The 27,955-nt window shown below is 43.4% G+C and overlaps 1 long non-coding RNA gene and 1 pseudogene across 1 annotated transcript, besides 2 other annotated features; one reads left to right on the forward strand and one right to left on the reverse strand.

Annotated features, from left to right (window-relative positions):
• Positions 136–765: an enhancer, noted in NCBI's record as "OCT4-NANOG-H3K27ac-H3K4me1 hESC enhancer chr6:5891739-5892368 (GRCh37/hg19 assembly coordinates)". NCBI's record gives its function as "activates a minimal SCP1, AML or CMV promoter by ChIP-STARR-seq in naive H9 embryonic stem cells {active_cell/tissue: H9 hESC(naive)}" and the evidence as "EXISTENCE:reporter gene assay evidence [ECO:0000049][PMID:30033119]".
• Positions 198–27,875, forward strand: LOC107986516 (uncharacterized). Its single transcript, XR_007059427.1, has 2 exons — positions 198–1,577; positions 25,744–27,875. It is a non-coding gene; the product is annotated as an uncharacterized LOC107986516 (long non-coding RNA).
• Positions 14,158–15,357: an enhancer, noted in NCBI's record as "MED14-independent group 3 enhancer chr6:5905761-5906960 (GRCh37/hg19 assembly coordinates)". NCBI's record gives its function as "activates an origin of replication core promoter dependent on BRD2, BRD4, P300/CBP and CDK7 cofactors, and independent of MED14, by STARR-seq in HCT116 cells {active_cell/tissue: HCT116}" and the evidence as "EXISTENCE:reporter gene assay evidence [ECO:0000049][PMID:35650434]".
• Positions 27,194–27,474, reverse strand: RN7SL221P (RNA, 7SL, cytoplasmic 221, pseudogene; annotated as a pseudogene).
• Positions 27,876–27,955: the final 80 nt, after the last annotated feature.

Consider the following 27,955-nt stretch of genomic DNA (forward strand, 5'->3'; position numbering starts at 1 on the left):
ACAGATGGGTTTTTGGTGTGGATGTCCTTTCTGTTTGTCAGTTTTCCTTCTAACAGACAGGACACTCAGCTGCAGGTCTGTTGGAGTACCCTGCCGTGTGAGGTGTCTGTGTGCCCCTGCTGGGGGGTGCCTCCCAGTTAGGCTGCTCGGGGGTCAGGGGTCAGGGACCCACTTGAGGAGGCAGTCTGCCCGTTCTCAGATCTCCAGCTGCGTGCTGGGAGAACCAGTGCTCTCTTCAAAGCTGTCAGACAGGGACATTTAAGTCTGCACAGGTTACTGCTGTCTTTTTGTTTGTCTGTGCCCTGCCCCCAGAGGTGGAGCCTACAGAGGCAGGCAGGCCTCCTTGAGCTGTGGTGGGCTCCGCCCAGTTCGAGCTTCCCGGCTGCTTTGTTTACCTAAGTAAGCCTGGGCAATGGCGGGCGCCCCTCCCCCAGCCTCGCTGCCGCCTTGCAGTTTGATCTCAGACTGCTGTGCTAGCAATCAGCGAGACTCCGTGGGCGTAGGACCCTCCGAGCCAGGTGCCGGATATAATCTCGTGGTGCGCTGTTTTTTTTTGTTTTGTTTTTTTTTTTGTTTGTTTTTTTTTGAGACGGAGTCTCGCTCTGTCGCCCAGGCCGGACTGCGGACTGCAGTGGCGCAATCTCGGCTCACTGCAAGCTCCGCTTCCCGGGTTCACGCCATTCTCCTGCCTCAGCCTCCCGAGTAGCTGGGACTACAGGCGGTGCGCCGTTTTTTAAGCCCGTCGGAAAAGCGCAGTATTCGGGTGGGAGTGACCCGATTTTCCAGGTGCCGTCCGTCACCCCTTTCTTTGACTCGGAAAGGGAACTCCCTGACCCCTTGCGCTTCCCGAGTGAGGCAGTGCCTCGCCCTGCTTCGGCTCGCACACGGTGCGCGCACCCACTGACCTGCGCCCGCTCTCTGGCACTCCCTAGTGAGATGAACCCGGTACCTCAGATGGAAATGCAGAAATCACCGTCTTCTGCGTCGCTCACGCTGGGAGCTGTAGACCGGAGCTGTTCCTATTCGGCCATCTTGGCTCCTCCAGGCCAATTTACTTTCAAAAATACCTGCATCCAGGAACTCTCATGCTAGCAGGATGAGGTAATGACTATTTCCCATACTCGTGTCAACTTTGAGCAATGCTAGGAATTTCCATATGTCCAAACAACTGTTTATCAGGAAATGCAACAAGGTACTTTTGACACTGAGCGTGAAAGGAACTCATTGAACCAAAATCTTCCAAAAAGACTGGAACATAAGAGAGCGGATGAAGAGCATAATAGAAGAGAAGTGCCAGGGAGGAGGATTATCTTAGGCAGAGCACACTGAGGATGGAGAGTTACCAGCCCTCCCGAGCTGTCGTTGGCACTGAACCAATGAGAGCCATTCATGTGCCTGTCTGTGCCTTGTGTTTTTCTTCTTCAACATATACTTTAGAACATCCATTCTGTGCAAAGCTCTGTGCCCACAGCTGTTGAGATGCCAGATGCATGCTGTTCCCTGCCCTGAAGACCCCAGCAGTCAGGCCAGGGAGAGAAGACATTCTTAGACAACCCAACAGTCGTCCCTGGGGAAAGGTGAGTGGTGCCCGATGAGGGATTGAATAAGAGAAGACATCACCATGGGCTACAGTGGTCAGGAAAGGCTTTGGAATAGAACAGCAAATCTTTATGGAGCGTTTACTGGGTACCACGCAGTGTTTTAAGCACTTTCTGAATCACTGAATATTCACAGTAACCCATATTAGGTAGGCACTAATAGTACCTACAATTTACCAATGAGAAAATTGAGGCACAAGAGTTGAAATACCTTGCACCAGGTTGCGGAGGTGGTGGTAAATGGGGGAGTCAAGCAGATGGGTTCTGGATTCCTTATTAACCGTGATTCTATGCAGCCTTCACATTTAAGTTACTATCAACGTGTAACAAATCACTATGACCATAGTTGCATAAAGCAACTGTTTTATTATGCTCCCAAATTCTGTGGGTCAGGAATTTGGATAGAACACATCAGGGACAGCTTGGCTCTGCTCCACGTCTGGGGCCTTGACTGGGTGCATGAACACCGGGGGTTGACTCAATATGACCGGAATCACCTGGAGGCATCCATGTGTCCAGTAGATGATACTGGCTGTCAGCTGGGACCTCAGCTGTGGCTGCAGCTGGAACACCCATACGTGGCCTCTCCAGGTGGCCTGGGCTTCTACACAGCATGGTGGCCTCAGAGCAGTCAGACTTCATACACTATGGCTTAAGGCTCTAAAGGCAAGTGTCCCAGCAAACAAAGAGGAAGCAGCATTGCCTTTCCTGAGCTAACCCTGGAAGTCCCACAGTCTCAAGCCCACTCAGATTTAACAGGAGGGGATACAGACCCCTCCCTCCACCCAAACTCTCGATGGGAGGAATGTCAAAGAATTTGCAGCCATTTTTTTGGTAATAGACTTTACTTTTAAGAGCAGTTTTAGGTTTACAGCAAAATTGGTTAGAAGGTACAGAACTTTCCCATATATCATATTGCCTGCCTTCCACGGCAGTCTTTTTTTTTTCCTTTTTTTTTTTTTTTTTTTTTGGAGTCTCGCTCTGTTGCCAGGCTGGAGGGCAGTGGTGCGATCTTGGCTCACTGCAACCTCCGCCTCCTGGGTCCAAGCAATTCTCCTGTCTCAGCCTCCCGGGTAGCTGGGACTACAGGCACACGCCACCATGGCTGGCTAATTTTTTTGTATTTTTAGTAAAGATGAGGTTTTACCATGTTTGTCAGGATGGTCTTGATCTCTTGACCTCGTGATCTGCCTGCCTCAGCCTCCCAAAGTGCTGAGATTACAGGCGTGAGCCACCGTGGTCTGGCGTGGTACTTTTTTGTAGGAAGGGCTCTCTTCCTTGTATTTCCATATGGCAAGGTCACTTTGCTTGTCGTCAGATGGAGTATTATAAAATAAAGCCAAACTCGTCTATTTGTGCTTACACTGGCCTTTCAGATTAAACAAATCCTTAATATTGGCAAAGGGCCTGACAAGCCTTTAGTATTAATTAATTCTTGGAAGTCTCTGGGGAGAAGGTAAGTATTCTTGGGAACTGACAAAATGAATTGTTTCATTAAGCAGGTAAACCATTCCTCTAAGCCCTGTGCCAACTTCTGACCTGTGAGTTCTCTTTGTATCAGGCTGGCCAGGGGCCCTCAGGCCATGCCAAGCTTGTAGGCAGAGCTGGACGAGGGCACGATGGGTCACGTGCGTGTGTCTCTTTTCTTTACTGTTCACTGCCAGGCTCTCTCCAGGCTTTTCAAATTCCAGGCTTTCCCTACTTTGTAAGTGAATTTGACCAGCATTTTCCTCCCAAAGTCACAGTTGAGTGTTCAAAATGAGGATCCACTGGTGTCTGTTGCTGATGTGGCATAAAGGCTGCTTGAGTGGAAGGAACATCTGTCCTTGATAGGCTTCTACTATTTTCCAGTAACTTATTTTAAAAATTTACATCATTACTTTACACATGGGAAGGCTGTGTTTGCTTTCTTCTCTCTGCTCTTTCTCACCCCATACCCAATAGGCCCAATATCCCTCAATCTAGAAATAGTCTGGAGGTGTGGGTGCCCAATCACAAGTCATCCAGATTTTCACTGCCCATCGAATGTGCAAAGAATTGGGATTCTTGCCTGATATCCTTGTCATGTGTTGTGTACTTATCCTTATTGTCATTCTTCGGACTGGTTATGGAGTTTATGGCTAAGGGGAGTATAGACCCTCACCCTCCTAACCCACTTGCTTGCAGCAGCTTTTTCTGCAGGTGTGTCTGTCTTGGTCACTGGGCTGGATGCCTGCCTATTAAGCAGGGGCCTCCTCTTAGCTACTTTCTTCTCCTGATCAAGGCTTTGCTCATGACTGATGCCCAGCATTGGATCAGGGCTTTGCTCATGACTGATGCCCAGCATTGGATCAGGGCTTTGCTCATGACTGATTCTCAACATCGTAGACATGACTTAATTTGCCAATGTTCAGTTCTCTTCTAACTTTGGATTACAGTTCTGCATGCCCTTGAATTCAGGACAGGTGGGGTGATGGGTTCTAGACGATGACATGAGGATAGACGTGATGTGTGTGCCTTCTGGGATAAGGCGTTTATTTGCCAGAACTTGCCTTATTGGCCCTTCCCTTTCCTGCCATGGGGAACACTGAAGCCTCACATAGAGATGGCTCTGTCATAAGATGTTGTGGTAATTTTGTGGAGAAGACCTCCCTCCCCACCACCAACCCATGATGGGCATGTTGCATGAGGGAGAAATAGCCTCTCAGTGTGTTCAGCCTCCGAGATTTTGGTGGTGTTTGTTGCTATAGCCTATCCTAGCTTATGGGTTGGCAAACTATGGCCCATGGGTCAAATCTGGTCATTCACTTGTTTTTGCAAATGAAGTTTTATTGGGACACAGCCATACCCATTCACTTATATATTGTCTACACCTGCTTTCACACAGCAATGACAGCAATGAACAGTTGTGACAGATGCTGCATGGTCTAGAAAGTAGAAAATTGTACTATTTGGCCCTACAGAGAGAAGGTTTGCTGATGCCCACCTATCCTGACTGATACACTCGATAAAAGTCTCTTGAATTATTAAATTGACAATGAAAAGGTAGAAGCCCAAAGCTGATGCTAAAATAATGTGAGATAACTTTGCACGATAATCAACGCAGCTTAATTGGCAAGCATTGATTAAGCGCCAGTTATGTGTCAGACTTGGGGGAAATGATTTTTCCTTGGGGTCCTAGGGGTTTGGGGATGGCAGGAGGTGTTGCTGTCCTTCTTAAGTTTGGGAAGTAAAGACTTGAGGTGCGAAGGAGGATGTGACAAGAGGATTCAAACCCCAAGGATTCTGCATGAACTGAGGGATTTATCACCACTGTCTCCATCGAAGTCCATTCATTCACCAAACATGCTGTGAGCTGTTGTCATTTACTATGTATGGTGTTAGCTGAATAGATGGCACAAAGGATTATTAGGCAATTACAATATAGTGTGATGGGTGTTAGGATTGGAGTGTGCAAGACACTGGGGAAGGATATACCCTTGATAGAGCCAAAATGGCAACTGGTGTAATTCCCTGAGACTGAAGCCAGGTGAAGGCTGAGAATTGCTTGTTGGCCAACTGTAGTACTTAGGGATTTTCTTCCCTAGGGAGAAAGCCCTGGAACAATCTCTTTACACCCTAGATTTGCACAGCAGTTCTCAGATCCTTGCTTTAGGCAGAGCCCCACTGCTAAGTCTTGTAACACAAAAGAGCTTTGCCTATGCACAGCTTTCTCTGGTTCTTTTTATCCTATCCTCCCCTGACAGGCAGCCTGGAAAGAAGCATCCTATTGATCATGACAGCACAATTGGAACTTGTGGATTTTTTTTTTTTTTTTTTTTTACTCCAGGGTCGGGAGGAAGAGGCTGGTGGCGTCCCTTCCTCTAGGGTGGGAGGTAATGAGCGGTAGATACCCACGCACTGACACGATCATCAGCGTGGATGCTGCAGTCTGCAGTTTTATGTGAAGTTCGCCTTCCCCACATTTGTACCTCCAACAAATTGATTTGGTACCCAGTTTGAGCCATCATCTTATTTCAAGTTTGGTTACCTAGGAAACCGAGGGCACACTGCTGGGACAGTCTGCCTGTGTTCTGTGCCGACCGAAGCTATTAAAGCCCATCAACTTGGCCTCCGAGAAGCACTGAACACAGACAGTTTCAACTTCCAGCCAGGTTCTTATTTATTTATTTTACTGCCTCAGCAGCAAAATGAGTTATTGAACCATTCAGCCTATTGATTGGGGCAGCTTTTCCCCTGCATTTCTCGGACACCTGAAGCCCCTCTGGAACTGGTGGCAGCCCAGAGGTCTTTTGTTAATGGTGAGTTCTCACCAGGGAAGCCAGGCAGCATCAATCCTCCAGCCAGCAGGGCCTGGGGCCTGGGCTGTGGTCAGGCACAGCACCCCACAATGGTGGTTCTTGCAAAGTCTTTGAATTTGTGAAGAAAATGATACTCGGGCCCTCTTGCAGGGAAACACACACACACATACACACACACACACACACACACACACACACACACACACACACACACAGAGAGAGAGAGAGAGAGAGAGAGCTTTGGATGCAATATAGTCGGGGAGCCGGACTCCCAGGCTAAAAACATTTGATCGAAGTTTATTCTGTTTGGAACTAGTTTCTTAGTTTTGAAAAAAAAGTAAATAAACCTCATATGTGCCCAGGATTTGACAATCTACAGTCCTAGGAACTTCCTGACCCAAAGGAAAATTACATTTCACTTCTTCTTCCTGAGAGACCTCACAGCCCCCTTGGACATTTCAGGCCTTCTCTAAGAATGGTGAACTCGACAGAGACCATACCATAATGTCTTCAGCCTGTTGGATATTGCACAGTCTGTGAACTAAGAATGGTTTTTAGATTTTTAAGTATAAAAAAGATGATTAGCCTTTTGGGGGAGGAGGGCGGTTGCTTGAGGAGTTGAAGATGTTGCTTCTTGGCTTGAAAAGCCTAAAATATTTGTTGTCTGGCCCTGTACAGAAGTTTGCCAGCCCCTAGGTACTTCTGTGCTGGCAGAGGGGCAGTATGTTCAGAGGCTTCCAGTTGGCTTTTTCCACTATGGTAGCTCTTACCCCACAGAGCAAGGACACAGTGTGTGGGTCCTGGGCACCTGTCAAGTCTGTCTATCCCAAGTATATGTTCAAAGACCAGGGAAATGACTGCCAGGAGGGGTCTATGGGCCCAGTGGATCCACTATGAGCAGGACCTGGGCCAAGACTCCATTTATTACATGGTCCCCATATGTTCTGAATCTAGGGTAGAGGGCAGCATTGCTTTGTGTCTCTATGATGTCAGCTTAGACTCTGTGTCCAGCAGTTTTCAAAATGTTTGGGTACTTGCCTTTCCTCAGTGTACAGTTATCCAAGTAAATGTCCCTTTGAGGAAGACTGGATGAATCATTACCATGTTTACTTGCCATGGTGTTGCAGGCACTGCCCTCCCTCCTCCTGCCCTCCCTCCCTTCCTTCTGGGAACCCAGACTCTCCTTCAGTCAGTGGGTTCTGGATCCAAAATGTGGATCAGAAAGGATGGTTTCGGGGGCACAGCTCTTGGCCTCCAGTCCACCCACCTTGATTTCTTTGACTGCACAGATGCAATGCTATCCTTACTGGCTGCCCATTTATTTTGCCCCGCAGGGCACTGTGTTTTATAAATTCTTTCCCTCACTCCCTGTGGGTCAGGCCCCAGCTTCTTGCCACTCGCTGTGATGATTGTCTCCCACAGATGGGGTCACGCTGTGAAGTGTCCTTGGGTGCTTCAAGGTCCCTCTACCTGTCAGTGGTAGGTAGTGCGTCCCTCTACCCTTCATTGAGCCCAGCTCTGGGGCAGCGTCTCCTGCAGAGCCACCACCGGCCTCCTGAGTGAAGCTGGTGCCCTCTCCCCAGCACGTCCCTTAGCGCTTGGTGAACACTGTGTCCCCTGGTCTTTTCCATGGAATGCATCCCACTGCTGGGTTTCCCAGCCTCATGGAGCAATACACTTGAGCATGCACATGCCTCTGAGCCTTTCTTCCCTTCCTCCACCTTCTGCTGCTGAAATTCTGGCATATCCGCCTCACCCAGTGCAGCTGTCACTATCCCACGTTATTTGGGGCCATCCTCATAGTATATCTACACCTGGGATTCTTACCTGGGTGTTCCATCCTGAATCCAGAAAGAGTACACCCAAATCAATAACATTTCCTTGGCATTTTCCATTACTGATTATTTCCAAACCAATAACATTTCCTGGTAGCTGTTACCCCATAGGCCAAGGACCATGTTCCAAACCTCATGCTCTGCCTCCCATCCAGCACCCTCAGGACCCAGCCCACCCATACCCTTTCCTGTCTTGCTGCACCACCTGGCTGGGTCCTGCAACTCCTTCAAGGCACAGTCCCTTTACCCCTTTTCAGGCCCAGCATGGCCCTGGCTGGGTTATGTTGTGACTCACCCCTAGTTCTAGGACTTGTGGCCAGTGGGCAACAGGGGTTGGATCCTGAGGCGGGGGCACATGCTTTGTGGGGAGACACCTCTGTACCGTCTTCAAGTAAGGGGTTGGTAGGGAGAGTCCACTTCTGTCAGCCTAATCTGGGCCTTCAAGGTCTTCAGAAACATCTACCCAGATGCCGTCATTGTGTGTGTCAGGGTTCCATTCTCTCCCATGCACGGCCCTGGCCCTGGCACAGCAACCTTACCTTGTTAAAAGTGTGACCCTCTCTGAAACTCAGCTGCTCTCCAGATGAAGTTCTTTGTCTGGTGTACAGCCTTCTCTGCCCTCCCACTTCAGGAGATTTGAGCCTTTTTATAGGCTTCCAGGAAGTCCTCTAGCTTTCAAAACTATCTCTTAGTTGCTGGTTAATCACACTCAGCTTTTTGTTTTCTTTTTCCAGAAGTCAGTCAGTTTCAGTAGTAGCCACCCAATTCTGTTGTCCTTATATCATAGTAATAATTTCTCTCATATTTCTCAGATGCCTGCTGCATTGCACCAGCTAATGTATTCCCTACCACTGATGTGCAATCCTGTCTCACCACTGGTTGAATTTCCAACAATTGTCCTTTCATCTTGGGCCAGCAGCTCTCTGGCCTCCACTTCCCACTAGCAATGGGGTTTTCATCATCAGTTTGCTGGTAGGTGACCAGCTCCAATAACCTATCTTATGTCTGCTTTCTCGGACGATATCTGGCACCAACTGTCACATGGGTTCCCTGGGAGGCAGACTCTGAGATGGAGAGTATCATGTAAGATGTTTATTAGGAAGTGTTCTGAGGAGTCATACCTAGGGAAGCAGGAGGAAGGAGGCAGAACTGGGCAGAGGAAGAAGTCAAGCTATGATGCAGCTCCAACTAAGGCCCCAGCTGACAGCCCCCACTAGGAGCTCTAGAGCTGGAAAAACCTTTAGTGCCATCCCTGCTGGAGTCTTTTGTGACCCTCCATCATTGGGTGTGAGCCACCCTGGAAAGGGTGAGTAACTTTGTTGAAGAAGGAGGCTCGTTTTAGCTTAGGCGCTTTGACATCTGAGGGCTGTCATCTGGCAGCACTTCCAGAAGCTGGGGGAATAGTCATTCATTCCTGGAGGAGTTCTGGGCAACACACTACAGTATCCACTACCTGCTCTGCCATCCCAGTCTGTCTAACAGCTGTGGCCTTGGATAAAGCCTTTAATCTTTCTGATCCTCAAATTCTCTTACATAAAAAAAAGATTTAAATTAACATATGCCCATTTCAGAAAATTATAGAAAATATAGTAATGTAGAAAGAAGAGAGTCTCCTGTAGTCTCAGTACCCAGAGATAGATGTCCCCACCCTGAAGTGTGTTTCTTGTATTTTTGCTCCACTTAATATAGTGGTAACCAAGTGCGATGTTGAATTTTGTGTTCTCATTTTCACTTAACATTGTGAAATCAGCATTATCAGAAACTTCTAGTAAACACTGATGTTAAAGGTAAATTCTTTCTGATTAAAAAAATAATGGCTAGTCGTAAGAGAACATTATGGAAAAATTATACATTATCTCTCTTTAGAAATAACCATGACTAAAATTTTGTTACACAGCTCTCCAGTTTTACTGTGTGTGTTTATAAATAAAATTAGGGAATGTTTTCTAAGATTCTAATGTTATTGTTTCAATCTATTTTTTTGCTTTATAGCTTGAACATCCCTCTGACATATTACATATTTGTCTATACCATATACAACCACTTTAATAACTGTATAATATTCTATTGCATAAAAAGATATGGAATCAACTTAAGTGCCCATCAATGGGCACTTATTGCACACACACAAACACACACATACACATACCATAAAATACACACACACATATATATTTATATATATACATACACAAACACATACACATACCATGGAATACTACTTAGCCATAAAAACTGAAATTGTGTCTTTTGTAACATTGGTGGGACTGGAGGCCATTATCTTAAGTGAAAAAATTCAGAAACAGAAAGTCAAATACCACATGTTCTCACTTATAAATGGGAGCTAGACAAGGACATATAGATTGATAATAGACATTGGAGACTCAGAAGGGTAGGAAGGTGGGAAGGAGGTGAGGGATGAGAAATTACCCAATGGGTGCAATGTACACTACTAAAATAATGCTTACACTAAAAGCACTGACCTCACCACTATGCAGTATATCCATGTATCAAAACTGCATGATACAGTACCCCCAAATCTATAAAAATAAAAAAACTTAACTCTATTGCATATGGGTGTGTGTATACATATATATATCTATGTATACATAAAACATAGCTTAATTCATCTCCTTTTAAAACATCTTTCCTAATATAAATAATTTTCTGATGAAGATCCTTACTTGTAGATCTTTGTGTTCATCTCTGATTCCTTCCTTGGGATAAAACCTTAGAAGCAGAATTATTGGGTGAAGTCTTTGAACATTCAAGTCATTTGATATATACTGCCAAATTACCCTCTTGAAAAGTTGTACAAATTTACTCACGACTAGAAGTACATGTGGGCAATTGTCATGCTTTCGTATTTCTATATTAGTTTGTACACTAGAGATGCTAATTATGGTGCCTGCATATGCCTAGAGTCCCTTATAAGGGAAGCTTCTCAGCCACAGTTCATATTGAAGAGGTACGATATGCAGTGATGTTTCTTTAATAACCCATCCCTTCCCTAGGGATGGCTCACAGAAGGGCAGGCAACCCATAGGCTTAGCAGCACCCTATGGTAATTACTGGCACCTAGAGGCTCAGCCCTAACAGTGGTGGTTACTACTCACTGGACTATTAATTTTAGAAATATTAAATGGAAACATGAAACCTGTTATTTACCAACGAGAGTTAAAGTTTAAATGAAAGTACCAGTGACATCATGATGGGTCACAGCAAGTCAAAGTCATAAGGAACCAAAAACGATGAATAGCATAAATAAGTTAAAACTATCATCAAGAAAAGCAGAAGCTGTGAGGTGGAGAGAAGAGATTCCAGGTGGTAGATAAGGAAGTCAGTTTTACTCAGGAAGTTGGGATTGAAACAGAGAGGGAAAGAGTCGCTAGTACTCATTAATGACAGAACAGTATGGTGATGAGCCTTAATTTCATGCCCCTAAAGCCCCTGGGACTGCCTTGGACAAGCTCCTGTTCTCCTGGGGCCTGGCCAAGCCCAGCTCCTGTTCTTTGTTGTTACACCTACAACCCCAAGGACATTTTAATATAACTCCCCGATTCCCACTGGTCTGAGTTTATCTTAGAACCAGAAGCGCCTAAAATAACATGAATGATTCATGAGCATCCCTGAATCTACTGGAGACTCTTAGGTTGTTTACTTTTATCTTTATTGTTTGTCACTGTAAATGAGGCCAGGATGAACATCTTTGTACATTAAATCGTGTGTGTATAGCATCCTTCCCTTAATCAAGATGACCACAGCAAGAAATTTCACATCAAAGGGCACAAACACTGAGTTTCTATTATTATTAAAAAACAAGAGCTAATGGGAGACAGGGAGAGGGCAGGCCATATCAGTCTCTAAGGCCTCATGAATTTCTAAAAGACTTGTGTTCTCTGGTTGTCTTCCAGATGTGTGCAGATCTTAGGCATACCAATGCAGTCTTCAACTGAGCCAAGAAAGAGAAGGGACCCTATTATAGACACAAGCATTATTCTGGACCTTGCTTGCAATATTATTTCCCTATTCCCACCCACAAGCTACATTGTTGTATCATTTTTTTTTCCAAGATGGAGTTTCGCTCTTGTTGCCCAGGCTGGAGGGCAGTGGCGTGATCTTGGCTCACTGCAACCTCCGCCTCCTGGGTTCCAGCGATTCTGCTGTCTCAGCTTGCCAAGTGGCTGGGATTACAGGCACCTGCCACCATGTCTGGCCAATTTTTAAAATATTTTTAGTACAAACAGGGTTTCACCATGTTGGCCAGGGTGATTTCGAACTCCTGACCTCAAGTGATCCTCCTGCCTTGGCCTCCCAAAGTGCTAGGATTACAGGCGTGAGCCACCGTGCCTGGCCCATTGTTCCATCATTCAACAGCTTCTAAAATTTCACCAATTAAATAACTTCCCTGATTGGAATGGGAGAAAGTGAGCAGAAGACTTTACTGTATGTACATGTATATTTATATGTATACCAATGTCTATGTCTACGTGAATGTCTCCATCTCCAACTAGCCCATATCAATGAGTATATGTGTAACTGAAGAAGTAGGTGTTTTAGAATTTTTAAAGGGAGAGAGAGAGAGGGAAAGAGTGAGTGAGAGTGAGAGAGAGAGAGACAAGGAGGTCAACAGCGCCCAGGCCTGTTTTTTGCTTGACATCTTGATGATCATGCATCGAGGTCTGCTCTAAATTATAATTTTTAATCTCAGTGATGTTTCTCAGCTCTGAAAAGCATCAGAGGAGTTTCGATTTGTGCCATGGCTATGAAAAAACTGTCTCTGGAGAGTTGTCCACCTGTTAGTCCCAGTATTTATATATAAGGTATTCCTCTTGTTCTGAGATTCTAACAATGCTATACTTTATAAATCATGTTCCTCTTTCAAAGATCAAAAAATTAGAAATTCTCCTACCATACTTGCTTTTTATATTTTGACTTTTAATAATCTTCTCTAATATTGTTATTTGATTTCAAATTGAACACAGAATCAATTCGATTAAGCACAAGAAGTGTCTGATGAAAGATTAGGATTCACTGCTTTGGAACCACTCAATAATTTTCATCTTTGCCACAAATATGTTAAGTTTAGGAGGCCAATAACTAAATTTCCCACTTTCCACCAGCTTTAAGACAGAATGGGGTTCAAGTACAATGAAGTGGCCCCATGTGAAGCCTAAGGATAGCAACACTGCAGAAACTGAACTGGCAGAAGCACAGCACAGAACATCTCAGAGTGTTTGCTCACCAGCTGATGCTCAGCAATTCAAAACTCTGAGCCCAAGGATCCGTTTAGAGTGTTGATGTGTGTGTGTGTGTGTGTGTATTGAATGAAGTCAGAACACACTAGTCAGGGACAGAGAGCCACCTGATAAACTGATAACTGTGTCCAGGGTAGATTTGGGCTAAGCTTTTTGTAGTTATAAAAAAAACTAAGAGAGTCAGAAAATTATATAATATTTACTTATCTTTACTTTTCCCAAACCATATAGTTTTTTAGATAAGAAAAGTTCCTCTAGTAATACTCCATGTTTAAAGAAACACAAGCCCTAAGTGCAAATTAAATGCGCTTGTCACCCTGCTTAACTCTTCTAAAGGTCACTTAATAAATCATTGGCTATTCAGCACTCTCACTCACGGACAGCATCTACCCTGGGACATTTTCACACTCTTGCCCCTTCTGTTAATTTCTCAGAGAAAAGCTACTAATGATCTCCACACTAACCCTCTGAGAATTACCTGTCTTACTGCCTCCATACGGAGCCCTGCCTTGGTCCCCCAAGCCAAGGTCCAGTCCCAGTACACCCTTTCCCTGTTAAATGGCTCTCGTGGTTTCTGGAAAACAAAGGCACACATGTCTCTGTTGTTGCAACTAGCACCTGCCTCAGTTACTTCCTTGTGTGGGAACTTGCAAAGGCCATGCATTAGCTTTTATAAAGCATAGACTTTTCCTTCGTGTACTTCTGAGAATCACCAAGGAAAACAATTTCCCCTTTAAATAGGGTAATTTGGATCCCTTCAGGATCCACCTCAGGTGGTGTGGGCAGAGGGTCGCTGAAACTGCTCAAGAATTGTTCAACAATAGCCAAAGTGGGTCCGGTCAAATGGGTCTGCTACTAGCCTCCAAGCAGGGCTTCATGTCCCAGGCTGTTGTCTTGCACAGGTTTCTTTATGTTGCTACAGTGTTTGCACTTCACTGTAAGCCCCTAAGAGGAAAGGGTTCTGCTTAGCAGAGAATCCTGAGACATTCTTTGTGAAAGCTCTATGTGATACAGAAAGAATTCTCTTCTCTCTGTGTCATCGAGGGAAAGAGGCAAACTGTTGGTGAATGCCAATCATCACAAAAAAAGAAGGACTTCATTTGTAATGGTGAATGAAGGCGGACAAGATTCTGGCAAGAGGGAGTTCTCTGGAATATGTTGGTTATCAGATCCCTTGCTTCTTAAAAACACTATCCACGTCAGCCTCCCTGGTAGAAAATGGTGTGGCACGTTCTGTGGATTAGACCATTCAGCAGCCAGCCCCTCCTCCTCATGGACTGCTCTGCGCCGCAGCACTGGAAGGCTAAAATCTATGCCTCACATTCCCTGCTGCCAGGATTGGGAGGCGAATTAAGTCTTCCCAGTTAGATGCTGTATTATTTATCTATTGCTGAGTAACAAATTGCTCCAGAAGTCAGCAGCTCACTATAGTAAACATTTCTTCTCTCCCCTGGTTCTGTGGGTCAGCAGTCTGGGAGCAGCTTAACTGGGTGGTTCTGGCCCAGGGCCTCTCACGAGGCTGTAGTCAGCTGTCAGCTGGAGAAGCTGCCTCCACGCTTACTCACACGGTTGTTGGCAGGAGGCCTCAGTTCCTCACCACGTGGGCTTCTCCCCAGGGCCGCCTGAGTGTCCTCAAGACAAGGCAACCGGTTTCCCCCAGAACAAAAGACCTGGGAGAGAAACAGACTATGAGTCCCTTACTGAGATAGAAGTCACAGTGTCTTCTGAAACCCAGTCTTATAAGTGGCACACCCTCACTTCTGCTGTATTCTGTTGCTCACACAGACCATCCCTGGTACCATGTGGGAGGAGGCTACACAAGGGCGTGGACACCTGAAGGCAGGGACCGCTGGGGCCATCACAGACGGGCCTGTGAAGCATGTCCAGACTTGTCTTCATGGATCTGAAAGGCATTCTTGTGGCTGTGGTGACCAGCTCAGCTCTGTCTGGTCCTCGGCTTCCTAGTGGTGGGATCACTCGCTTCCCGATCTCTGCATCTCAGCTGTGGCTTCTTACTCTTGAGCTCAGCAGTTCCAAGGCCATCTCCTGGAGTCCTTCCTCCAGCCCTTCCAATGCATTACATTTTCTTTCCTTAAAAATAGCTGAAGTGGTTTCCTATTCCTGGAACTGGACCATGGCTGATACAGGCGGGTATCAGCCTGCCAAGGAATAACAGCAAACATTACCATGCAATATGTAAGTATGTTACATTCATTCATCAGATTTTACAGATGTGGAAACTGAGATGCTGGGAAATTAAGTGAACAGCCCAGGCTCACACAGGCAATGAAAACTACAGCTGGATTTCAGAGCCCACACTCTTAATGCTGCCACATTGGGGCCACTCAGAAGGTTGCATCTTATGTGGCTTTCCCTTATAAGGGAAAAGGGCTAAAAGGACTTTGGTGTCCGTTCAAAAGGCTGATGAGATCTTGGGTTTCTTCATAAAATCATTTTTTATTTTTATGAGACATCTGGCAGGTAATAATTTATTGTCAGGAATCTCAAACCCCAGGCAAAATACTGCACCAGGGTAACAGCCAAGGCCAGTAGGTGAAGGCCAGCAAGGCCAACCTCTCATTTCTCCTACTGACATCTGAGTAGGTGTCCCAACATCAGGGAACACATTTTAAATATTTTTTGAAAAATTTTACCCAAGACCCAATTTTGTTCAGACTTTACATTGACACAAATTACCCTTACTCTGCATTAAATATTACTATCATTTCTATAGAGTCATAGCAATCAAGTTCCAGTGAAACCCACTTGCTACCATAAAGACACATGCATGCATGTGTTCATCACAGGACTGTCCACAGTAGCAGAGACAAGAAATCAACCTAGATGCCCATCAGCAGAGGACTAGATAAAGAAAATGCGGTACACTGGCACCATGGAATAGTATCCAGCCACGAAAAAGCATGCAATCATATCCTTTGAAGCAAGATGGATGGAGCTGGAGGGCATGATTTTAAGGAAACTAATGCAGGGACAGAAAACCAAATACAACATGCTATCACTTACAAGTGGGAGCTAAACATTGAGAACGCATGGACATAAAGAAGGGAACAACAGACTCTGGAGCCTACTTGAGGGTGAAGAGTGGGAGGAGAATGAGGATAGAAAAACTACCTATCCGGTATTCCTATTGGGTATTATGCTGATTACCTGGGAGACAAAACCCCTGCAACATGCAGTTTACCCATGTAACAAACCTGCATGTGTATTCTTGAACCTAAAATAAAAGTTAGAAAGAAAAATATCCCACTTTCTTATGTATCTCCTATTATGGGAATCACAGGGCCTCTGGGTAATTCCTGAAATACAGGGCTTTACGTACGAATTTACACTCAACAAGTTTTTCTTGAGCATATACTATGCTCTGCACACTCAGCATAACAACCAGGGGTAAGGAAAGTCTCTGACACAACCCAAAGCAGGCCATAGGCTTTAAGTGCAGTGGCATTAGGACTTGGAGGTATGGGCAGATTGACCACTCGAAGAGCTCAGCTGTCACATCAAGGCTGAGGGCTGAAGGTCACTTCTCATGAATGGAATACTGGATGTATCATAGGGGAGAACACTGGATGCATTCCAGGAAACATTAATAGAAAAAAGAAGTCCTAACAGTGGCTTTTTTGTATAAGCAAAATCGAGTAGGTAATTAAGGCAGAAAAGAACTTGAAGATGATAACTATGATAATCAAACTGACCACTTGTTGAGCACTTGCTGCATACCAGGAATAAGTGGATTGCGGACATTCTCGAATCGAATACTCACTTCATGAAATGGGTTCTATTAGTATCCTCATCCTAAATATGGAGAAACAGAGGCTGAGCAGCTTAAGGTAGTACAGCTGATTGTTCAGGAAGCCAGAAACGAAATTTGGGTTGGTCAAACCCTAAAACCTATGTGCTTAATCCCCAAATACTGGGCTGGTTGGCCCAGATCACCCAAGAAAATTGTTCACACCAATTGATGCCATCCCTGTGTTTGTCTTGACCTCAACTGATAAATGCACCTGCTGTTATGCCCAGCCCCAGCCTCTGCTTTGAAGAGGTTGAGAAAACTGTGATTTCTTTTAGTACCGCACAGTAAACACTAGGTAGGAAAAGGATATGTTGGTAATTTTTCTTTAACCACTTAGCTCTTGCCATCATGTTGTAGTTTAATTAAGCTGGCCTCCTGCAGAATTGTTCAGCTGAGACCATTGGTGGGGACACAAATTGATCTTTTTGGTCTTGGGTTTTTCTGAGTTAATCTTATTCATGTCCATCCACAAGATGCTGTTTCCATTTGTATAGCTGAACTAAAAAAGAATAACTCCCTGCTCTATTCAGTGAGCAGTACAGAGATGCATGTGAATCTTCGAGGCAGATTCCTGGGTCTCATGCCAGTACTACTAAATCAAAATCTTTGGGAGAGTGGCCCAGTGATCTGCATTTAAGCAAGCATGTCCGCTGAGTCCCATGCCGCACAGTGAAACCCTGGGATAGGGTCAAAATGCCTCATCATACTTTAATCAGCTGAGGTCACTTGGAAGCACAGTCCTAGGTTCAAATCCTGCCTGTGCCACTTACAACCTTACGTAAGTCACGTACCCTCTCTTAGCTGCTATTTTCTTATCTATAGAATGGAATTAACAATACTATCTCCCTCAGGATAAAATTATTATAGATTAAATGAGAAATTACTTCTAAAGCATTTAGCACAATTCCCAACTAACAAATTGTTGTTGCTGCTGCTGTTTTGTTATTGGAGCACTTCCATGATTCCTGATACAGCTAGTCCATATTCTTAGTCCTTAATACTTTGTCATAATACATGCTATAGTAGAACATCTTGAAGTTGTGTGTGTGTGTTCAGTGTGTTTTTATGACACAACAGTAAAACATCTAGGGATTCTAAAGAACCAAAAGCTGGGCCTTCATTCATTAAATCAAAAATTGTTCACCAATATATGTCACACTATGCTGTATTGTGAGCATAGCAAGATGAATATGACACACAGTATTGGAGCTTAGAAGAGGAGACACACCTACACATCCTGCTTTAATATTACTTGACAGGAAATAACAATTTAGGCCTGTTTCTAGTGAAAATTTTTATATTTATTAACATAAAAACGTGTCATAAAGGTTTAACACTTGGAGGCTGTGACACGGAGCACTTACTATGTACAATTCTTATCACACCTTTATGTTGGTTCCAGTTCTGACAGTCACAACATATGGGACATAAGGGGACAGAAGTGACTTTCAGAGAGTTGAGAAGAGTCAAAGGCCATCACTGACCTGGTACATGGGTCCCACAGGGATCAGTTTGTTTTCCTTGAAATTATGCCTTTATCCAGGTCATTTTCACTGCCTGGAATGTCTCTTTCTCTTTTTCTTCTCTCATCCACATGTTAAAAATTATTCAGACCCTGCTTCCTCCATGGATCCTCCCCGACTACCTTCGACCATCATGGGCCTCCCTCTCCTTGGAACTCCCTTTCTGTTATATATCCACCAAATATTCATGAGATGCATTATTCATGAAATGCCTCCTTGTCCCAATCTGTCATGTATCCATCAAATATTCATGAACTGCCTTATTGGGAGCGCATACGGTGGAATGCCTGGGGATGAGGTCAGAGAGAATCCCAGGAGCAGATGGCGTGTGGCCTTGCAGCCCCAGTAAGGACTTTGGATTCTCCTTGGAGTGATAAGAAAAGCCATTGGAGTTTTCAGCAGGAACCTGTGATGTTGTGATTTATGTTTAAAGAAGATTCCTCTGGTTTCTCTGTGGACTATAGACTTTAGTGGTCAAGAGTAGATGCAGGGGGATCAATTAGGAGGTCTGGCAGTACTCCTAGTGAAAGAAAATAGTAGCTTGGACTATGGTCTTAGTGTCCGAGGCCTTGAGAAGTCACTGGATTTGGGATATATTCCAAAGGAGGAGCGAATATGATTGATTTGATGATATTAGATACAGGATATCAAATAAATAAAGATAATGTGACTCCTTAATGGAGCTTCTGTTCCTGAGTAGAAACTGGTATGAGATTACTATTGTTGCTGTAACAAATTGTCACAAACATAATGGCTTAAAACAATACATATTTATTATCTTATAGTTCTGAAGGCCAGAAGACCAAAATTAGTCTCACTGGGCAAAAGTCAAGGTATATATGCTGTGCTAGTTTCTTTGGAAGGTTCTAGGAGAGAATCAATTTTCTTCTTTTTCCAGGTCCTAGAAGCCACCTACAGTCCTTGGCACATGGCTTCTTCCTCTATCTTCAAAGTGCATCTTTCCACCTCCTGCTCCAGCCCCTGCTTCCAGCACCACATCACTTTTTAGGTCCCTCTGCTTCCATCGCCATGTCCCTTTCTGTGAGTGTGGCCCTGCTGCCTCCCTCTTATAAAGATTGTTGTGATTACATTGGGCTCACCTAAATAATCTAGGATAATTGCATCATCTCAAGATCTTTCACTTAATCTTCCAAGTCTTTTTGCCCTGTATGACAATGCATTCACAGGTTACAGGAATTAGGAAGTGGGCATCTTTGAGGAGCCATCATTCAACCTACCAAAGAACCTAAAACCTAATAGGAACATAAATAAATAACTTAATTTCCAATAGTGACATTTTGAAAAACATTGAGCAGGGAAATAGAACGGAAGGGGAATGTTGGTGGTGTTGATGGTGGGGAGAAACAAGGGGGTGGCTAATTTTGATAGAAAGGTTGAGAAACTCCCTCAGAATGATATTCAAGCAGAGATCCTATCAATAAGAAGTGTCAAATATCTGGATGAAGAATGTTCCAGGGAAGAACTAGCCAGGGTAAAAGGATCCTGAAGTGGAAACAAACTTCAGGTGTTTGAGACACCCAACAGGTTGGTGTGAGGTAGAGGACAGGAAGTAGACAAGGGTAGCAGTGAAGCTGGAGAGGCTTGCATGGGTCAGATCAGAGAAGGTAAGGGGATTGGAATTTAAGGATAATGCTGGAAGAAAAGCAGTGCTTGGGTTATAATAGGTAATCAATACAAAGTAGTTTATATTTGTAGGTTTTTAGTTCTTCTAAAGAATAATAGAAGCCATCAGAAGAGAGTGATATGACTGATATGATGTGGTTTGCAAATCCCTCTGAGCTGATGGGATATATTAGAGAAAAAAAAATAGGCTGCTGTATCAGTAAGAGTTTAGTAGGGAGACAGAAATGGCACCAATTATTTGGACAGAGTTTAAAGAAGCCTAACAACACACAAAGAAGTCTTTTTTTATTACGCACATTTTCCATTTTTTGGCACTCTTCTTTGTGTAGATCCAAGTTTCCTCTGGGATCACTTTTCTTCACTCTGGAAACTTCCTTTTCTTGGTATGAAATATCCTTTAACTTTTTTTTTTATTATACTTTAAGTTCTGGGATACACGTGCAGAACGTGCAGATTTGTTAGATAAGTATACACGTGCCATGGTGGTTTGCTGCACCCATCAACATTAGACTTTAGGGGTAAAGAGTAGATGCAGGGGGATCAAGTAGGAGATCTTGCAGTAATCCCAGTGAAAGAAAATAGTAGCTTGAACTATGGTCTTAGTGTCTGAGGCTACATTAGGTAGCCTTATCATCTACATTAGGTATTTTTCCTGATACTATCCCTCCCCCTAGTCCCCCACCCCCTGACAGGCCCCAGTGTGTGATGTTCCCCTCCCTGTGTCCATGTGTTCTCATTGTTCAACTCCCACTTATGAGTGAGAACATGTGGTATTTGGTTTTCTGTTCTTGTGTTAGTTTGCTGAAAATGATGCTTTCCAGCTTCATCCATGTCCCTGCAAAGGACATGAACTCATTCGTTTTTATGGCTGCATAGTATTCCATGATGTATATGTGCCACATTTTCTTTATCCAGTCTATCATTGATGAGCATTTGGGTTGGTTCCAAGTCTTTGCTATTGTGAACAGTGCTGCAATAAACATACATGTGCATGTGTCTTTGTAGTAGAATGATTTATAATCCTTTGGATATTACTCAGTAATGGGATTGCTGGATCTAATGGTATTTCTGGTTCTAGATATTTGAGGAATCGCCACACTGTCTTCCACAATGGTTGAACTAATTTACACTCCCACCAACAGTGTAAAAGCATTCCTTTTTCTCCACATCCTCTCCAGCATCTGTTGTTTCCTGACTTTTTAATGATCACCGTTCTAACTGGCATGAGATGGTATCTCACTGTGGTTTTCATTTGCATTTCTCTAAAGACCAGTGATGATGAGCATTTTTTCATATATTTGTTGACCACATAAATATCTTTTTTTTTGAAAAGTGTCTGTTCATATCCTTCACCCACTTTTTGATGGAGTTGTGGATTTTTTTCTTGTAAATTTGTTTAAGTTCTTTTTAGATTCTGGATATTAGCCCTTTCTCAGATGGATAGATTGCAAAATTTTTTTGCAATTACAGATTGCAATTCTGTAGGTTGCCTGTTCATTCTGATGCTAGTTTCTTTTGCTGTGCAGAAGCTCTTTAGTTTTATTAGATCCCATTTGTCAATTTTTGCTTTTGTTGCCATTGCTTTTGGTGTTTTAGTCATGAAGTCTTTGCCCATCCTATGTCCTGAATGGTATTGCCTAGGTTTTCTTCTAGGGTTTTTATGGTTTTGGATCTTACGTTTAAGTCTTTAATCCATCTTGAGTTAATTTTTGTATAAAGTATAAGGAAGAGGTCCAGTTTCAGTTTTCTGCATATGACTAGCCAGTTTTCCCAACACCATTTATTAAATAGGGAATCCTTTCCCCATTGCTAGTTTTTTTCAGATTTGTCAAAGATCAGATGGTTGTAGATGTGTGGTGTTATTTCTGAGGCCTCTGTTCTATTCCATTGGTCTATATATCTGTTTTAGTACCAGTATCATGCGTTTTTGTTACTCTAGCCTTGTAGTATAGTTTGAAGTCAGTAGTGTGATGCCTCCAACTATGATCTTTTTGCTTGGGATTATCTTGGCAATGTGGGCTCTTTTTTGGTTCCATATGAAATTTAAAGTATTTCTTTCTAATTCTGTGAAGAAAGTCAATGGTAGCTTGATGGGGTTGGCATTTAATCTGTAAATTACTTTGGGCAGTATGGCCATTTTCACAATATTCATTCTTCCTATCCATGAGCATGGAATGTTTTTCCATTCGTTTGTGTCCTCTCTTATTTTCTTGAGAAGTGGTTTGTAGTTCTCCTTGAAGAGGTCCTTCACATCCCTTGTAAGTTGTATTCCTAGGTGTTTTATTCTTTTTGTAGCAATCATGAGTGGGAGTTCACTCATGATTTGGCTCTCTGCTTGTCTATTATTGGTGTATAGGAATGCTTGTGATTTTTGCACATTGATTTTGTATCCTGAGACTTTGCTGAAGTTGCTTATCAGCTTAAGGAGATTTTGAGCTGAGACAATGGAGTTTTCTAAATATACAATCGTGTCATCTGTAAACAGAGACAATTTGACTTCCTGTCTTCCTATTTGAATACGCTTTATTTCTTTCTCTTGGCTGATTGCCCTGGCCAGAACTTCCAATACTGTGTTGAACAGGAGTGGTGAGAGAGGGCATCCTTGTCTTGAGCTGGTTTTCAAAGGGAATGCTTCCAGCTTTTGCTCATTCAGTATGATATTGGCTGTGGGTTTGTCATAAATAGCTCTTATTATCTTGGGATACGTCCCATCAATACCTAGTTTATTGAGAGTTTTTAGCATGGAAGCCCTGTTGAATTTTGTCAAAGGCCTTTTCTGCATCTATTGAAATAATCGTGGTTTTTGTCATTGGCTCTGTTTCTGTGATGGATTATGTTTATTGATTTGTGTATATTGAACCAGCCTTGCATCCCAGGGATGAAGCCCACTTGATCATGGTGGATAAGCTTTTTGATGTGCTGTTAGGTTTGGTTTGCCAGTATTTTATTAAGGATTTTTGCATTGGTGTTCATTAGGGATATGGGCCTGAAATTTTCTTTTTTTTGTTGTGTCTCTGCCAGGTTTTGGTATCACAGTGACGCTGGCCTCATAAAATGAGTTATGGAGGAGTCCCTCTTTTTCTATTGTTTGCAATAGTTTCAGAAGGAATGGTACCAGCTCCTCTTTGTACCTCTGGTAGAACTTGGCTGTGAATCCCTCTGGTCCTGGGCCTTTTTTGGTTGGTAGGCTACTAATTACTGCCTGAATTTCAGAACTTTTTATGGGTCTACTCAGGGATTTGGCTTCTTCCTTGTTTAGTCTTGGGAGGGTGTATGTGTCCAGGAATTTATACATTTCTTCTAGATTTTCTACTTTATTTACATAGAGGTGTTTATAGTATTCTATGATGGTAGTTTGTGTATCTGTGGGATCAGTGTTGATAACCTCTTTATCATTTTTATTGTGTCTATTTGGTTCTTCTCTCTTTTCTTCTTTATTATTCTGGCTAGCAGTCTGTCTATTTTGTTGATCTTTTCAAAAAACCAGCTCCTGGATTTATTGATTTTCTGAAGAGTTTTTCATGTCTCTGTCACCTTCAGTTCTCCTCTGATCTTAGTTATTTCCTGTCTTCTGCTAGCTTTTGAATTTGTTTGCTCTTGCTTCTCTAGTTCTTTTAATTGTGATGTTAGGATGTTGATTTTAGATCTTTCCTGCTTTCTCCTGTGGGCATTTAATGCTATAAATTTCCCTCTAAACACTGCTTTAGCTGTGTCACAGAGATTCTGGTACATTGTGTCTTTGTTCTCATTGGTTTCAAAGAACTTATTTATTTCTGCCTTAATTTTGTTATGTACCCAGTAGTCATTCAGGGGCAGGCTGCTCAGTTTCCATGTAGTTGTGTGGTTTTGAGTGAGTTTCTTGATTTTGAGTTCTAATTTGATTGCATTATGGTCTGAGAGACTGTTTGTTATGATTTCCATTCTTTTATATTTGCTGAGGAGTGTTTTACTTCCAATTATGTGGTCAATTTTAGAATAAGTGTGATGTGGCACTGAGAACAATGTACATTCTGTTGATTTGGGGTGGAGAGTTCTGTAGATGTCTATTAGGTTGGCTTGGTCCAGAGCTGAGTTAAAGTGCTGAATATCCTTGTTAATTTTCTGTCTCGTTGATCTGTCTAATGTTGACAGTGGGGTGTTAAAGTCTCCCACTATTATTGTGTGGGAGTCTAAGTCTCTTTGTAGGTCTCTAAGAACTTGTTTTATGAATCTGTGTGCTCCTGTATTGGGTGCATATATATTTAGGATGGTTAGCTCTTCTTGTTGCATTGATCCCTTTACCATTATGTAATGCCCTTCTTTGTCTTTTCTGATCTTTGTTGGTTTAAAGTCTGTTTTATCAGAGACTAGGATTGCAACCCCTGCTTTTTTTGCTTTTCATTTGCTTGGTAAATCTTCCTCCATCCCTTTATTTTGAGCCTATGTATGTCTTTGCAAGTGAGATGGGTCTCTTGAATATAGCACACTGATGGGTCTTGACTCTTTATCCAATTTGCCAGTCTGTGTCTTTTAATTGGGGCATTTTGCCCATTTACATTTAAGGTTAATATTGTTATGTGTCAATTTGTTCCTGTCATTATGATGTTAGCTGGTTATTTTTCCCGTTAGTTTATGCAGTTTCTTTGTTGCATCCATGGTCTTTACAATTTGGCATGTTTTTGCAGTGGCTGGTACTGGTTTTTCCTTTCTATGTTTAGTGCTTCATTCAGGAGCCCTTGTAAGGCAGGCCTGGTTATGACAAAATCTCTCAGCATTTGCTTGTCTGTAAAGAATTTTATTTCTCCTTCGCTTATGAAGCTTAGTTTGGCTGGATATGAAATTCTGGGTTGAAAATTCTTTTCTTCAAAAATGTTGAATATTGGCCCCCGCTCTCTTCTGGCTTGCAGTTCTTCAGAGAGATCCACTGTTATTCTGATGGGCTTCCCTTTGTGGGTAACCCGACTTTTCTCTCTGGCTGCCCTTAACATTTTTCCCTTCATTTCAACCTTGGTAAATCTGACAATTAAGTGTCTTGGGGTTGCTCTTCTGGAGGAGTATCTTTGTGGTGTTCTCTGTATTTCCTGAATTTGAATGCTGGCCTGTCTTGCTAGGTTGAGGAAGTTCTCCTGGACAATATCTTGAAGAGTGTTTTCCAACTTGGTTCCATTCTCCCCGTCACTTTTAGGTACACCAATCCAACGTAAATTTGGTCTTTTCACACAGTCCCATATTTCTTGGAGGATTTGTTCATTCCTTTTCATTCTTTTTTCTCTAATCTTGTCTTCATGCTTTATTTCATTAAGTTGATCTTCAATCTCTGATACCCTTTCTTCTGCTTGATTGATTCAGTTATTGATACTTATGTATGCTTCATGAAGTTCTTGTGCTGTGTTTATCAGCTCCATCAGGTCATTTATGTTCTTCAAACTGGTTATTCTAGTTAGTGATTCCTCTAACCTTTTTTCAATGTTCTTAGCTTCCTTGCACTGGGTTAGAACGTGCTCCTTTAGCTCCAAGGAGTTTGTTATTATTCTGAAGCCTACTTCTGCCAATTCGTCAAACTCATTGTCTGTCCAGTTTTGTTCCCTTGCTGGCGAGGAGTTGTGATCCTTTGAAGAAGAGACATTCTGGTTTTTGGAATTTTCAGCCTTTCTGCACTGGTTTTTCCTCATCTTCATGGATTTATCTACCTTTGGTCTTTGATATTGGTTACCTTCAGATGGGGTTTCTGTTTGGATGTCCTTTTTGTTGATGTTGATGCTATTCCTTTCTGTTTGTTAGTTTTCCTTCTAACAGTCAGGCCTCTCTGCTGCAGGTCTGCTGGAGTTTGCTGGAGGTCCACTTCAGATCCTGTTTGCCTGGGCATCACCAGTGGAAGCTGCAGAACAGCAAAGATTGCTGCCTGTTCTTTCCTTTGGAAGCTTTGTCCCAGAGGGGCACCTGCCAGATGCCAGCCAGAACTCTCCTGTATGAGGTGTCTATCGGCCCCTATTGGGAGGTGTCTTCCAGTCAGGATACACAGGGGTAAGGGACCCACTTGAAAAGGCAGTCTGTCCCTTAGCAGAACCCGAGCGCTGAGCTGGGAGATCCACTGCTGTCTTCAGAGCCAGCAGGCAGGAAAGTTTGTCTGCTGAAGCTGCTCCCACAGCCACCCCTTCCCCCAGGTGCTCTGTCCCAGGGAGATGGGAGTTTTATCTATAAGCCCCTGACTGGGGCTGCTGCCTTTTTTTCAGAGATGCCCTGCCCAGAGACGAGGAATCTAGAGAGGCAGTCTGCCTACAGCGGCTTTGCCGAGCTGCAGTGGGCTCCACCCAGTTTGAAATTCCTGGTGGCTTTGTTTACAATGTGAGGGGAAAAATGTCTACTCAAGCCTCAGTAATGGTGGACACCCCTCCTCCCACCAAGCTTGAGTGTCCCAGGTCAACTTTAGACTGCTGTGCTGGCAGCGAGAATTTCAAGCCAGTGGATCTTAGCTTGCTGGGCTCCGTGGGGGTGGGACCTGCTGAGCTAGACCACTTGGCTCTCTGGCTTCAGCCCCTTTCCAGGGGAGTGAATTGTTCTTTCTCGTTAGTGTTCCAGGCACCATTGGGGTATGAAAAAAAAAAAAACAACAGCAAATTACAGCTAGCTCAATGTCTGCCCAAATGGCCACCCAGTTTTGTGCTTGAAACCCAGGGCCCTGGTGGTGTAGGCACCCAAGGGAATCTCCTGGTTTGCAGGTTTCGAAGACCATGGGAAAAGCATAGTATCTGGGCCAGAATGCACCATTCCTCAAGGCACTGTCTCTCATGGCTTCCCTTGGCTAGGCGAGGGAGTTCCTTGACCTCTTGTGCTTCTTGGATGAGGTGATGCCCCACCCTGCTTCAGCTCGCCTTCTGTGGGCTGCACCTGCTGTCTAACCAGTCCCAATGAGATGAGCCAGGTACCTTGGCTGGAAATGCAGAAATCACACACCTTCTGTGTTGATCTTGCTGGGAGCTGCAGACTGGAGCTGTTCCTATTCGGCCATCTTGCCAACCCCATCTCCTTTAACATTTTTGTAGCGTAGGTTCTGCTGGTGATAGCCTCTCAGTTTTTTTGTCTATGTTAAAAAAAGTCTTTATTCTCTTTGTATTTTTGAAAAATATTTTCACTAGATTTAGAGTTCTAGTCTGACAGATTTTTCTTTCAGATCTTTGAAGATGCCATTCGTTTGTCTTCTGATTTGTATGATCTCTGACAAAAAGTCTGCTTAATTAATTATCTATTTATTTATTTTAGAGAAGAGGGTCTTGCTATGTAGCCCAGGCTGAAATGCCATTGACTATTCACAGGTGCAATACTACTGCTGATCAGCATGGGATTTTGACCTGCTCATTTCCAACCTGGGCCAGTTCGTTCCTCCTTAGGCAACCTAGTAGTCTCCCATTGCCAGAAGGTCACCATACTGATGCTGAACTTAGTGCAGAAACCTGATGGGCATAGTGCACAACAGCCCAGAACTCCTGGACTCAAGCAATCTCCTGCCTCATATTTGGGACTACATGCCTGCACTACCATGCCTGCCTCTGTTTCAATTTTTATCTTTGTTCCATTGTATATAATGTATCTTTTTTCTTTGGCTGCTTTTAAACTTGTCTCTTTTTCATTGTTTTTCAGCAGTTTGATTGATGGGTTTGGTGTGGTTTTTCACAATTACTTCTTGATTGGGGTTTGTGCTTCTTGGTTCTGTGGATTTATAGTTTTCCTCAAATTTGGGTAAATTTCAGCCGTTCGTTTTTCAGATGTTTGTTCTGACTCTCCTTCTCTCTTTGGGGCTCCAATTATATATGCATTAGACAATGTGATATTTTATGGGTCACTGAGGCTTTGTTCTCTCTCTCTCAGCAGCAATCTCACCCTTCTCTAGCTTTTTCCCCATTTTCTTGCACACAGGTGTTTCTCCTAATAAAATCTTTGCACACTTAATCTCATTTTGGTGTCAGTTTCTTAAGGATCTGGAGTAACATGATTTCTGTTGACTAATTTTTTCTCCTGATATATTGTCT

Source organism: Homo sapiens, chromosome 6 (genome assembly GCF_000001405.40).
Source record: "Homo sapiens chromosome 6, GRCh38.p14 Primary Assembly".
In the NCBI taxonomy this organism is placed as follows: domain Eukaryota; kingdom Metazoa; phylum Chordata; class Mammalia; order Primates; family Hominidae; genus Homo; species Homo sapiens.